Below are 12,952 nucleotides of genomic sequence, written 5' to 3' on the forward strand. Positions count from 1 at the left end.
TCAATAGATGATTTTATTTAATTTTTGCAATATGCATGAAGGACTACTATTGTAACTATTTAGGAAAGAGGAAACTGAGGCTTAGAGGATTGAGTTACTTGCCAAGGTGACTGTGATGGTTAATACTGAGTGTCAACTTCATTGGATTGAAGGATGCAAAGTATTGTTCCTGGGTGTGTCTGTGAGGGTGTTGCCAAAGGAGATTAACATTTGAGTCAGTGGACTGGGAAAGGCAGACCCACCCATCATCTGTGTGGGTACAATCTAATCAGCTGCCACCGTGGCTAGAACGAAAGCAGGCAGAATGTGAAAAGACTAGACTGGCTTAGCCTCCCAGGCTACATCTTTTTCCCCTGCTGGATGTTTCCTCTCCTTGAACATCGGACTCCAAGTTCTTCAGCTTTGGGACTCGGACTTGCTTCCTTGCTCCTCAGCTTGCAGATGACCTATTATGGGACCTTGTGATCGTGTGAGTCAATATTCCTGAATAAAATCCCCTTTATATATACATCTATCCTATTAGTTCCGTCACTGTAGAGAACCCTGACTAATACAGTAACACTAAGCTGGTGAACAGCCGGAGGCAGGACTAGAAGCCAGGTGATCAAACTCTAGAGCCTGCTCTTTCATTCCCTACAACTTCCCACCTCCCTTCTCTCATACTGCAGAGGAGGCTCTTAAAAAACATGTTTTCCATAAGTGAATGAATGAAGTGATGATGTAAGAAGAGCTTTGCATCATTTATGGCACATAGTGTTCAATCAACAATAAATCTCTTTGCCTTCCTTCTCTCTACTCCTCCACACTGAGGGCTGAGGGAACATTTAGGGCCTACTGTCCAACACCAGATCTCAATCCAAAGCTTTGCATATTTTAAAATGTTGTGTTGTAAAAATAGGAGAGGAACAAGGCTCTGTGAATAATTCACCACCTTGCCTTAGAGAAATTAAAAATATATTTCATTGAGGAAGAAAGGTCTTGGTTACTTGGGGTTTCCAGGAACTCAGACAAGAGCACAGCTTTTAATGGAAGAATTGAATTGGTCTCAATGCCTTTTTTACCCCCAAGTGAAATGGAGGGGGTGATGTCCAAAGAAAAGAGTTTAGGTTAATGCTACACTTAATGTAGAAATGAATTCATTTTCACTTTACAACAGAATAGAATTTACACTAATGATTTCATATTCAAAGTCCTACTTAACTTAATATCTAACTGGCAACAGACAGCTAACACATGCTGGTTGGTTGGTTGGTGGAGCGGGTATTGGGTTGGTGGGGAAGTGAGTTGGTTAAAGAGATGACTGACAGCCAGGCACGGTGGCTCACACCTGTAATCCCAACACTCTGGGAGGCCAAGACGGGCGGATCACGAGGTCAGGAGATCAAGACCATCCTGTCAACACGGTGAAACCCCGTCTCTACTAAAAAAAAATATAAAAAATTAGCCGGGCATGGTGGTGGGCGCCTGTAGTCCCAGCTGCTCGGCGGGCTGAGGCAGGAGAATGGCGTGAACCCGGGAGGCGGAGCTTGCAGTGAGCCGAGATCGCGCCACTACTGCACTCCATCCTAGGCGACAGAGCGAGACTCCGTCTCAAAAAAAAAAAAAAAAAAAAAAAAAAAGAGATGACTGACATTGGATCAAAAACAGAATGCAGGCTTTGTGCATGGAAAACACTCACTTAAAAACTTAGCTTTATCACTTACTAGCTGTACTTCTTCTGGGTCTCAGCTTCCTTATTTATAAAATGGAGGTAATATGACATGTGCAGTTTTGAGGACTAAAGACAATGTACAATGTCTGCTATATAGCAAATAACTGTTAAGTAGTGGATAATATTATTGTAGGAATGAATAAATTTGCCTAACCAATCTCTCCACCACATTCCCCACATTATGAATCGGGTCTTCCTACATTGCATGCTGAGCCTAGAAAGCTCTGCCACCTCCCTTTACTTAACCAGCTCCTGGTGAACAAAACTGTCACTTCCTCCAGGAAGTCTGTACTGACCACTCCAGTTGGTAGTGCTCAACATGTCTCTGAAGGAGAAGATCCCCTGTTATAATTACACCTCAGTCCACCCTTCCTGTATCAATATGCCAATCTCTCCTAGTGGGCATGGGCCATACCTAAATGCAGCCGGCGACTTTGTGAGTATGTGGCACAGCGCTCTATCACTAAAGGGGCTTCCTCAAAGTTCAGTGAATCCAGTCACTGTGGCAAAACTGGTGCCTAAGGGATTGCTCCTAATATTAAATGATGCATTCAGGCAAGATCCACAAGCATCTAAAGGCACTAGTCTGCACTATTTTCCATTCATTGTCTTTGCATTTATTTCCTCTCCTTTATCCAGCCCTCTTACCCTTGATCACTCAAAAACTGACTGGCCCTGATGGGGAGGGATGGGTAAGGCTGAGCAGGGTGGAACAATTAATCTGCTTTCCCATTAACCTACTCTAAGCCCACAGGAGTTACAAATGATAGCCTGTTTGTAAAAGGATAACCTCGATTTATCAGTCTCTAAAGTAGACTTAAATAAACAAAGCATATTCCCTAAACAATATCTGAAATTTAATTATTTTCCCAGATTAGACCAAAGGAACTGAGAAAATGATCAGATTAGGCATTTCTAACAAATGGAGCCAATTCCAAGGTTAAGCCGTATTTTCAGAAAATTTAGTAAACTCTCAAATTAGACTGTCCCATAGAACTGAATCACCTCCTCGGATATGATCACAACAGCCAAGACAATTTGGCTTACCTGGCTATAAATGCTTTTGTGTGATGTAGAATGGCAGAGAAGCTAAGAAGGCTTTGCTGTTAAGACATCCCACTCTCCCTTCCCATCCCAAACCCAAAGTCATGAGAAGGCTCTGGCCCAGTGGCTGCTGACCTACCTCCCAATGTGGCTGAGATGAGCAGGTGGGTGCCGTACTTTTTGATGATGGTATCGATGAACTGCTGAGTGGTAGGTCTCCTGCCAAGCAGGCGGATGCTCCTTTGAAACTCCGGCATGAGGGGCACTGGATGGCGGACCAGATCTCTCCTCTCGATGGCTGTGTTCCTCACCTTCCAACGGGCAAACTCCCTGGGCAGGAGAAATGAGCAACACTTCTCAACTTACCACCATTACCCTTAAGCCAAAGTCCACCCAACCATCCATCCAGGCATCTCTCCTTAAGTGGGAAAGTGCCTACAATTTTAATATGTGTCAAGTGATGCTTTGATCTGGAGCTTCCAATCATCTGCAACCAACAAATATTTATAGAGTACTATTCTCATCACAGGAATATTGAACTAGATAAACAATATCATTGTCCTCAAGTTGTTTACAGAGCACCAGGGAGACAAATATCAGGAGTTACTTTTATTAGGGGTTGGGTAGAGGGACTGAGGAAAAAGAAAGAGTAATACAAATAATAATCTGATGATAATATGGATGATGATAATGTACTGATGAAAATTTTCATGGTATTTTATAGTTTCCAAGAATATCATGTCTAAGTTCTTATATAATGATCACACTAGCCCTGTGCCAGGGGATTATTATCCATTTCTGATACCTGTCACAGGACCAAGTCCTCCATTGTCTTCTAGTTGTCTGTCCATCTCTCTTGCTAGACTGTAAATGACACCACAAGAATAGAATCTTCTTAGGCACTCCCTAACCCAGCCCTGTATATAGCTCAGTGCCTGTTACATGGCAGGATTCATGATAATGCCAGACAGAGAAATAAACAAATGGAAGGAAGGAAGGAAGGAAGGAAGGAAGGAAGGAAGGAAGGAAGGAAGGGAGGGAGGGAGGGAGGGAGGGAAGGGAGGAAGGAAGGGAGGGAGAGAGGGAGGGACCGGATGAAGGGAGAGAGGGAGAGAGAAAGGGAAGGAAGGAAGGAGAGAGAGAGGGAGGGAGGGAAGAAGGAAGGAAGGAAGGGAGAGAGGGAGAGAGAAAGGGAGGGAGGGAAGGAGGGAAGGAAGGAAGGAGAGAGAGAGGGAGGGAGGGAAGAAGGAAGGAAGGAAGAAAGGAAGGAAGGAAGGAAGAAAAGGAAGGAGGGAGGGAGGGAAGGAGGGAGGGAGGGAGGGAAGGAGGGAGGGAGGGTGAGAAGGAGGATATATAATAGTAGACAGGACCTAAGGCACAAAGCAACCTGAGGACTGTTCTAGGATAATCCAGAAATCAAATATTGAGCCCAGAGCTCACTTTAATCCAAAATGTTAACATGTATTCATTGAGCACCTAGTATTTTAAAGCAATTAAGCTATGTTCCAAAGACCATGTGGGAGAATTTCCATGTTTGCCTTCACTAATAACAGAGGATCTCACAACCAAACGACACCAAATTTGGAAGTCCAAGTCTCGCTCTCCCTCTTACAAATTATGTGTTGTGATCTTGTCCCCTCTCTAGACCTACATTTCTTCATCTATAAAATTCAATTATCTATTTGCTACTGCTGATGCAGGAATTACATGAAACATAGAGTGCAAAATACCTTTGGAAACTGCAAGGTGCTAATTTAATGTGAATTATTGTTTTATAACTTTATTTTCTCACAAGTTCCCAGACATGTACATGTAAATCATTAAAAGTTCACATACAGTAAACTTGGAGCATACAAACCGAGTACAAGTGAAAACTTAGAGGGACTGAGTGAAGGTTGCTTTTGCTCAGTAACAATCACAGTTCCCACCAAAGATGCAGCTCCCCCAGAATGACCAGCTCTCCGACCTGCCTGAGTTACATGCTCTCGGTCCCTTGAGGAAAACAGACTAGACAAGAGGGCTGTAAGGTCAGCTGAGATAAATGATGGGAACCAGAGTTTAATGAAAAGGTCTCTCTCTCCTGCCACAGGATGGGAGAGACGAATGAGGAAAGGGACACAGGGCAAAGAAGCAGCAGAACAGTGGGGGTATCTGGCCGGAATGTGCCCTGGTAATTTAGTGGTGGTGTCTGACCCCTGATTCACAGAAAACTGGGTCTGAGAAAAGCTTTCACATTAGAATATGTTTCCAAGATTCAGAGATCATGGTCTGTGTCTGAGTAAGAAATCTCTGTCCATAATTCAAGACATAGTTCAAATTTGAAGTCCACTGAGTACCTTGCATGTTGTTGCAGGTACTTAAGTCAATCAACTGCACTCAGTGAACCCTTCAAGACACCTACTAAGGGCAACATATGATGTCCACGGAAGGGGAATGCACATGTCACAGTCCCTGTCCTTAAGAAGCTCACAGTCTGGAAGACTTTTCAGTTTATTATAAATCAAGGACTACAGGACACAGGAGGAGGAACCTGAACTTTTCGGGCCTCTAGGGAAAGCTTCAGAGAGGAGGTCATGTTTGAACTATAGTTTTTAAGTTTGCATGGAATTTAGATCAACGAAGTGTGGTTAAAAACAAAAACAGCCAGAATGGTGGTGCACGCCTGTAGCCCCAGCCACTCAGGTGGCCAAGGCAGGAGGATCACTTGAACTCAGGAGTTCAAATCCAGCCTGGACAACATAGTGAGACCTTGTCTCTAAAAGTAAAAGAGAAACAAATAAACACAAAAACAACAAAAAAACTAACCATGGGGAGGAAAAGTCAGGAACAGTGAGCAGGGATACAGAAAACATTGAGAAGGGCAGAATAAAATAGGGGGGAGCATGAAAAAGAGGGTGTGGGAGGCAACAAGATGGAACAAGTAGTTGATGGGATGTGGGCATGGGGGAAAGACCTTGACAGCCAGCTGAGACAAATGTTACAGGTGTGGCAGGCAGCTTGCGGCTTGAGTCCTAATGACCTCGGGCCCAGGGACTCGTTTCTAATTAATAGAATATGAAAGTGATGGAGTGTCACTTTCACGTTTCAGTTACAAAATTCTTCGATGTCTATTTGGTGTGTGTTCTCTCTCTGTGTGTCTCTGGTTCTCTAAGTCCCTCTATGTCTTTCTCTGTCTCTGTCTCTTTTTCTGCTTCACCCACTGGCTCTCTGTTCCCTCTCTGTTTCTTGCATTGGCTTTCCCGCTCTCTCTGTCTCTGTGTCCATCTTTTCTTCCTCCCTCCCTCTCACTCGCTGCCATGCTGTGAGATGCTCTATGGAGACATCCACATGGCAAGGAGCCGAGGGAATCCTTAGGCCAACAGCTTCCGAGGAAATGAGGCCTTGCAAGGAACTGAATCCTGGCAGTAACCATGGGCTTAAGCTAGGAAACAGACCCTTCCCAAGCTAGCCTTGAGATGACTGCAGCCTGGTAACAAACCCAGAGACAGGGCGTCCAGATTCCTGACTCACAGAAACTGTGAGATAATATTGTTTTAAGTCACTGAATTGTGAGGTAATTGATCAATACACAGCAATGAGAAATGCCAAATATCTCTGAGGAAAAGAGTATTTCCTTATCAGCTAATCCAAGAAATTTATAAAATTATATATACATATAATTATGAGGTTATATATATATATGCATATAAACATACTGATATATCAGTATATAGAAAAATATATATAGTCATACGTGTGTGTGTGTGTGTGTGTATCACTTTTATTCATAACTTACTGTCTTGGGTTGCTTTTTTCATATGAACACACCCGTATTCCTTAAAATTAATATTTATTTCACACAGAGAGGTTAAGTAACTGTTAAAGGTCATGTAGCTAATGAGTGGTAGAATTGAGTATAGAAAACTGGCACCCTGACTCTTAAATCACTCTTTTAATGTAAATATCGAGAGGTAGAATATAAAAGCATAGTAGAACCAGTACCAGTACAGAAGAATGATGCCACCCCCACCACCAAATTACAAGGCATGACTCAATTCCTTTTTTTGAAACAGCCATCACAGTCTTTGACGTTCACCAGCGATAGACCAGGGCCTGCCATCTGTGTTGCTTCCTTGAAAAGAAACTCAGAAAGATGCCTATGCCAGGTACCCAGTTTATCCCTCACAGGGTGGATGTAAGGCCTAAGTGAGGAAATGTATGCGACCTGCTGAGCACAGAGTCAGGTACTTGGGGAGAACTCAGTAACTGGGGATGTTACCCTAAAGAACTAACTACCTGCTCAGCACCACGGACAGAGTTTTTTATCCCAAGGAATTGGTCCACTGGGGGAAGGAGGACAAATGGTTGTTTAGGGAAGGTATTAAACTATAATGTACAATATGGAGGTTCCTCAAAAAACTAAAAATAGGACTACCATATGATTCAGCAATGCCACTACTAGGCATATACCCAAAAGAATGGAAATACATATTAAAGAGATAGGACCATGTCTTATCACAGCACTATTTACAATACGAAAAATGTGCAATCAAACTAAGTGCCAATCAATGGATGAATGGATAAAGAAAATATGTATACATACTCAATGGAATATCATTCAGCCATAAAAGGGAATGAAATCCTGTCATTTGCAGCAGGATGGAAGGAATTGGAGGCCATTTTGTTAAGTGAAATAGTCCAAGCACAGAAAGACAAATATCACACATCCCATTCATTTGTGGGAGATGAAAAATGGACCTCGTGAAGATAGAGAGTGAAATGATGGTTCCCAGAGGCTGGGAAGGATAGTTGGGGAGGAACGAAGGGAAAAATAAAACATATAAATGCATTTATTACCATGGAATTGAACACTTAAAAATGGTAAAGAACAAAAAGAACAATGAGCTCCATGTGCAAAAATGGAGGTGAAAGAGAGGGGATAGGACAGGTAGAAAGAAAGGGATGTGTGTGTCTGTGTGTACCTGTAATACATAAATGATAAGAGCTAAAGGCAGAGAGGTTGTCAAGGACCACAGGATGAATGACTATGTGTCAAACTATGATAGTAGATTACAGTCTATAAACTCTGTTCTCACTGGCCAACAATCCAGGCTAAAAGCATTTTGAAGATAGGTTTATGTGGCTCTGCAACCATTACAGGGATGTTGGAGCAAAGACTGTAATAATCACAGGATTCTGTGATTTTTACACTCTTTACCAAAGTACACTTAAGTAAAAGGGCTCAATAGCACCCAGATCTATTCAGAGCTAGATTTAAACAACATTAGAGACAAAAAGGTTGATTACATATTCGAAATTTGAGCACCTACTATTTTTCCAGCTCTAAAGATACCACAGTAAACAAAATTAATGAAAGTCTTGCTCTCAAGGGGCATACATGCTGGTGACAGTGGACAGATAACAAAGAAACAAATATGTAATGTGTCAGGGGAGATAAGTGTTATAAAGACAAATAAATCACGGGGAGGAGGCTGCGATGTCCAGAAGGGGGTAAAGCTGTCATTTCATATAGGTCATCAGAAAAGGCCTTTGTGATTTCATGACATTTGAGGAGACACCTGAAGGAAATGAGGGAGGGACCATAGGGCCACCTGGTGAAATAATGTTCCCGGAAAAAAATAACAGCAAATGCAAAGGTCCTGGGGTGGAAATGTGTTTGACACATTTGGGAAACATCAAAGGGCAGCCTAAATGAGTAGAGGGGTGATATGGGAAGAAAAATAATATCAAAAGATGAAGTGGAGGAACATAGACCTCAAAAGGCTTTGTCAGCCTTAGTAAAACTTTTTTAAAAATTCTAAGTAACAAGAAAAGTCAAAAGAAGGTGTTGAGTCTACCTAATCTGATTTACGTTATAAAGGAAGGGTAGGCAAACATTTTCTATAAAGGTCCAGGTAGTAAATATTTTAGATTTTTCAGCCACAGGTACCTGTTGCAACCACTCAACTGTGTCCTTGTACAGGGAAACAGTCATAGACAATACAACTGAGTGTGGATGTGCTCCAATAAAACTTTATTTACAAAAGCAAGTGCCCAAATATATTTGGCCTATGGGAAATATGTCCTAAAAGCTTCACTCTAACTCCATTCATAGAAGTCATCAAATCCAACTAATACCATCCACTGATGGGAAAATTGAATGTCAAAAAGATTGAGTTATTTGATCAAGATCACACAGCAAACGATCAGGAAGGATTAAATCAGAGCCCAAGGCTCATGACTTCAAGTGCAATACCCTTTCCATTGCAACATGCCACCTTAAAAAAAATAATGTAAAAGAAAATACATAAAAGAAAGCAAGCCTTGCTTGCCATGTTGTCTAACTGCTCTGCTGGCCCGGGAACAATTTCATGTCAGTTCTCAGGGAATTGAGCACAACATAAAATATATCTTTCCTTCTGAGTGCACAGAACAAGCAAATTCCCCTTGGAGGAGAAGGCAGAACTCACAATGGCATAGGATCTGTGGAATATGCTTATGCCCAATTAAGCATCCCAGCAGGGTGGGCAAACCAATTAGACTGAGATTAAAGTAAGATCCTGGATGGAAGTCGTGGGGTGTCTGCAGCAAGGGCCATCCCACTGGGGGAGCCAGAGGTGGGAGGGCAGATGATGACAGGGCCTGGGGATGGATGAAGACTGCAGCCAGGGGTGCTGGATTTAAGATGAGGCTGGAGAGAAAATTATAAGTCCGAATCTTTCTTTTTAGAGCAAAGTATTGCCTGTATAGGAATCCTCCTTCATCCTCTTTATTAGTCCTCTACTTTCCTTCATACGTGCAAAAAAATACACATAGGTACACTCAATGACACAGTGCACAGAAGGAGACATGATTACGAGACAGAAAGGAGAGGCCAGGTGCAGTGGCTCACGCTTGTAATCCCAGTACTTTGGGAGGTCAAGGCGGGCAGATCGCCTGAGCTCAGGAGTTCAAGACCAGCCTGGGAAATACAGTGAAACCCCATCTCTACTACACATACAAAAAATTAGCCAGGCGTGGCAGCATGCGCCTGTAGTCCCAGCTACTCAGGAGACTGAGGCAGGAGAATCTCTTGAACCCGGGAGGCGGAGGCTGCAGTGAGCCGGGATCGAGCCACTGCATGCCAGCCCGGGCAACGGAGCAAGACTCCAGCTCAAAAAAAAAAAAAAAAAAAAAAAAAAAAACACGAGACAGGAAGGAGAACTGGCTCTGTGCTCTTGGGACGGTGTATTCATTCCTGGATATCCGTGTCTCTACCTGTGAAATAAACTGATTGAATTGGATCATCTTTAACCCTGTATCCTCAACCTAGGCTCTAGGGGTAAAACTGTGAGTTATGGTTCTACCACCTATTGGTTTATACTTTGTAAAATGTAAATGGTAGCTACCTTACAAGGACAGGCTTAGGATTATATTAAACCATGAAAGCATCAATAAAATATTAAAGTTATTATCAATATCATCATTGTTGTTATGATTACATGAGCAGCTACATTGGAAAGCTGGGTGATAGTGGATAGATGGTGGAGTGAGAAGGGAAAGGACACAATCATGCTCTTTTAAAATTCCAGTAGATAAAACTTTAGGGAAAGGTGGGATCTGATTCTTGTGAAGTAAGCTGAAAGTAGCAAGGCTAAATTTAAGAAATGAAGCAATAGTTTATAAACTCCATCCAAGTCTATTTTTTCGTATATGTGATGAGGACTAAAAGCATGCACCTCCTCAAATTGTGCTGGAAGAGTTAGATGAAATAATAGTTAGACAACTTCTTTATACAGTGCAACACGGTATGAACAATTGTTAGCTGCTGTTGGCATTAGCATTTGTTTTACAATTATTTGTATAGGACACACTTATGATGTTTCTATTGCTTAAAAGGTTCTATTTTAGTTTCCTCATCTGTAAAATGGGGTGGGGCAGTGACAATTTCTGCATCTTAGAGTTGTAAGGGGAATGCTTCCAGCAGTCTTGGGTCTATAGGGCGCACTGGATAAATGTGTTTCCTCCATTGTTTTTAGATAATCAAGCTCCTAATGACCTCTGATAAGTGGAGGGTTCTTTTACTCTTCTCATGCATGTTTTATGACTTGTTCGCTTACATGAATCTGATCTCAGATGTAGTTGGAGGTTACTTTCAAAAACATACACATCTTATAGGCCGTAAAATACACATAAAATAGGAAAAATAAAAGGGAGAATAGAAAATGAAGTTTGGGTTAAAATAGAAAATGAAGTTTGTAAAGTTAATTCTATAAAGTCCTGAACACTTGATTCAAGTGAACTGCAAGTGTCTCTGAGCTTCCTTGCAGCTGAAGGAAAAAGGGGAATTATAGCCAAAAGCCATACAGTCAGAAAGACAGCAGAGTAGTTGTTCAAAGTTATTTGAGAAATAGATTCCCTCAATGCTACAATAAGACACAAACATTTTCCATGGTTTCTCATAAAGAGATCAATAGAGTTGATGCTGGTGGGAGATGTTCTGAACAATATTCCTGTGAGTTTGATGGGCTCAAGGTAGCCTAATGCATATAATGAAGCACTATTCATACACGATTCATACAATAAGCAACAATAAAGCAACTCCATGAGGGGCAAACATATTACAGTCTAAATATATAGCTTTCTGGCGGTCTGGCTTAATCCAAGAATACATTTTGGAATACTATAATGACATTGAACCCCGAATAAAGGTTTGTTGAAAGCATGATTGATTACAGTGATGGGATGTTTGCATTTGTTTATTCCTGGGTGGCTTATCCCATTGGTCGCATTAACTAATCATTTGGAAATGGATAAAGAGAAGCTTCTGAGTATCGGGGTGATAGAGGAAAACTCTGGGACAGCTTCTGCTATTGTTAGCAGCAAATTATCCCCAGAGGTGAACAAGGGGAATCACAGAGGAGAAGAGTGAGATGAAATCATTGAGCTGAGAGAGGAAAGAAGGCATTTCTCTTGCCTGCTGTTCCCACTCGCTCCCCACACGATCCTCAGCCAGCTCAGAGAAAGGTGAACCCAAGGGCATATGTGAAGCAGAAATGATGCATCTTAACGAGAGGGTGTCAGCTCCAAATCCCCTGCCTGCCTTCATGTCCCATAACACAACTGGCAAGGCAGCTGAGAAACAGCCACATCCAGGCAGATCTCTCAGGGCATTTTGGCTCCAGAGGGGTGAAGTGAGGAAAAGTAGAAAAAAAGAAGAAGAAAAAAAGAACTATCTCTGAAAATGTAATTATGAATAGTATTATTTTAATTACAAGTAAAGATATCAACTTAACTTTAGAGAATAAAGTACTCCTTGCTTATAATGTGTACAGAGGTCTATTTGCCAAAGGTGTTCACTTAAGTAATGATAGTTTTACTCTTATGCCAGCCTCATAGCAGTTCTGAAGGCTCTTACGGGGCTGAATTCAGAGCAATGGGGGTAAATAACCTAAGGGGAGCACACTGGAAGGGGACTATGTGTGTTTCTCATTGCACATAAACTTGAGAGGGAAAAATAGAAACACAACAAGCACACTTGGAATGGCCCAACTTTTATATAAATGGGCCATTTCCAGAAAAGCAAGTGGGATTCTTCCTGAAGCACTGTTATCGAGGGCAGGGGGCCATAATGGTGGCTATGAGAGTTAATCGTGGGAAAGGAAGCTTAGAATGCACTTGTTTTATTTTACCCCAAAGGGCCCAGTGTTTCCTGAGATACACTCCATGCACTGGAACTGCTCACTGCCTTGCCATACAGAATCCAAAATATCAGGATAGAGGGACTTTAGGCACTCACGGCCATCACTGTCATTTCACAGATGAGAAAACTGAGGCCCATAGAGAGAGAGGGACTTGCTAAGGCCACAGCACCATTGGTGGCAAGAGGGACTAGGAAATAAGTTCCTCACCTTAGATTCCGTGTTCTCTACTCTGACCCACTGTCTTATTCCATTTTCTTGACTTTGTGGGGTCTGTCATGCACTTGGTCCTTTACAAATCTCTGTCACCCCACACATTATTCTCCCAACAACCTGGAAGATAGGGAGTATGATCATCCCCATCACAAGTGGAGGAAACCAAGGCCCAGAGCAGTGAAGGCCACTTGGAAAATCTGCACCAGATCTGGGACAGAAATTCAGGTTCTGTTATTCTTAGTCTGGGATCTTCCTTGTTTCTTCCTATTCTCTACTCCTCTGCCCATTCTGGTGTCCCCATGTGAATGGGGGAAGTCATTGA

The 12,952-nt window shown here is 42.2% G+C and overlaps 1 protein-coding gene across 1 annotated transcript in view; it reads right to left on the minus strand.

The window, feature by feature from the left end:
• BRINP1 (BMP/retinoic acid inducible neural specific 1) overlaps nucleotides 1–12,952 on the minus strand; it is a 202,807-nt gene that overhangs the window by 79,437 nt on the left and 110,418 nt on the right. The window contains exon 3 of the mRNA NM_014618.3: nucleotides 2,895–3,085. Coding sequence (NP_055433.2) covers nucleotides 2,895–3,085 — 191 coding nt within the window. The remainder of the gene's footprint in view (nucleotides 1–2,894; nucleotides 3,086–12,952) is intronic.

This window comes from Homo sapiens, chromosome 9 (genome assembly GCF_000001405.40).
Source record: "Homo sapiens chromosome 9, GRCh38.p14 Primary Assembly".
NCBI lineage: Eukaryota > Metazoa > Chordata > Mammalia > Primates > Hominidae > Homo > Homo sapiens.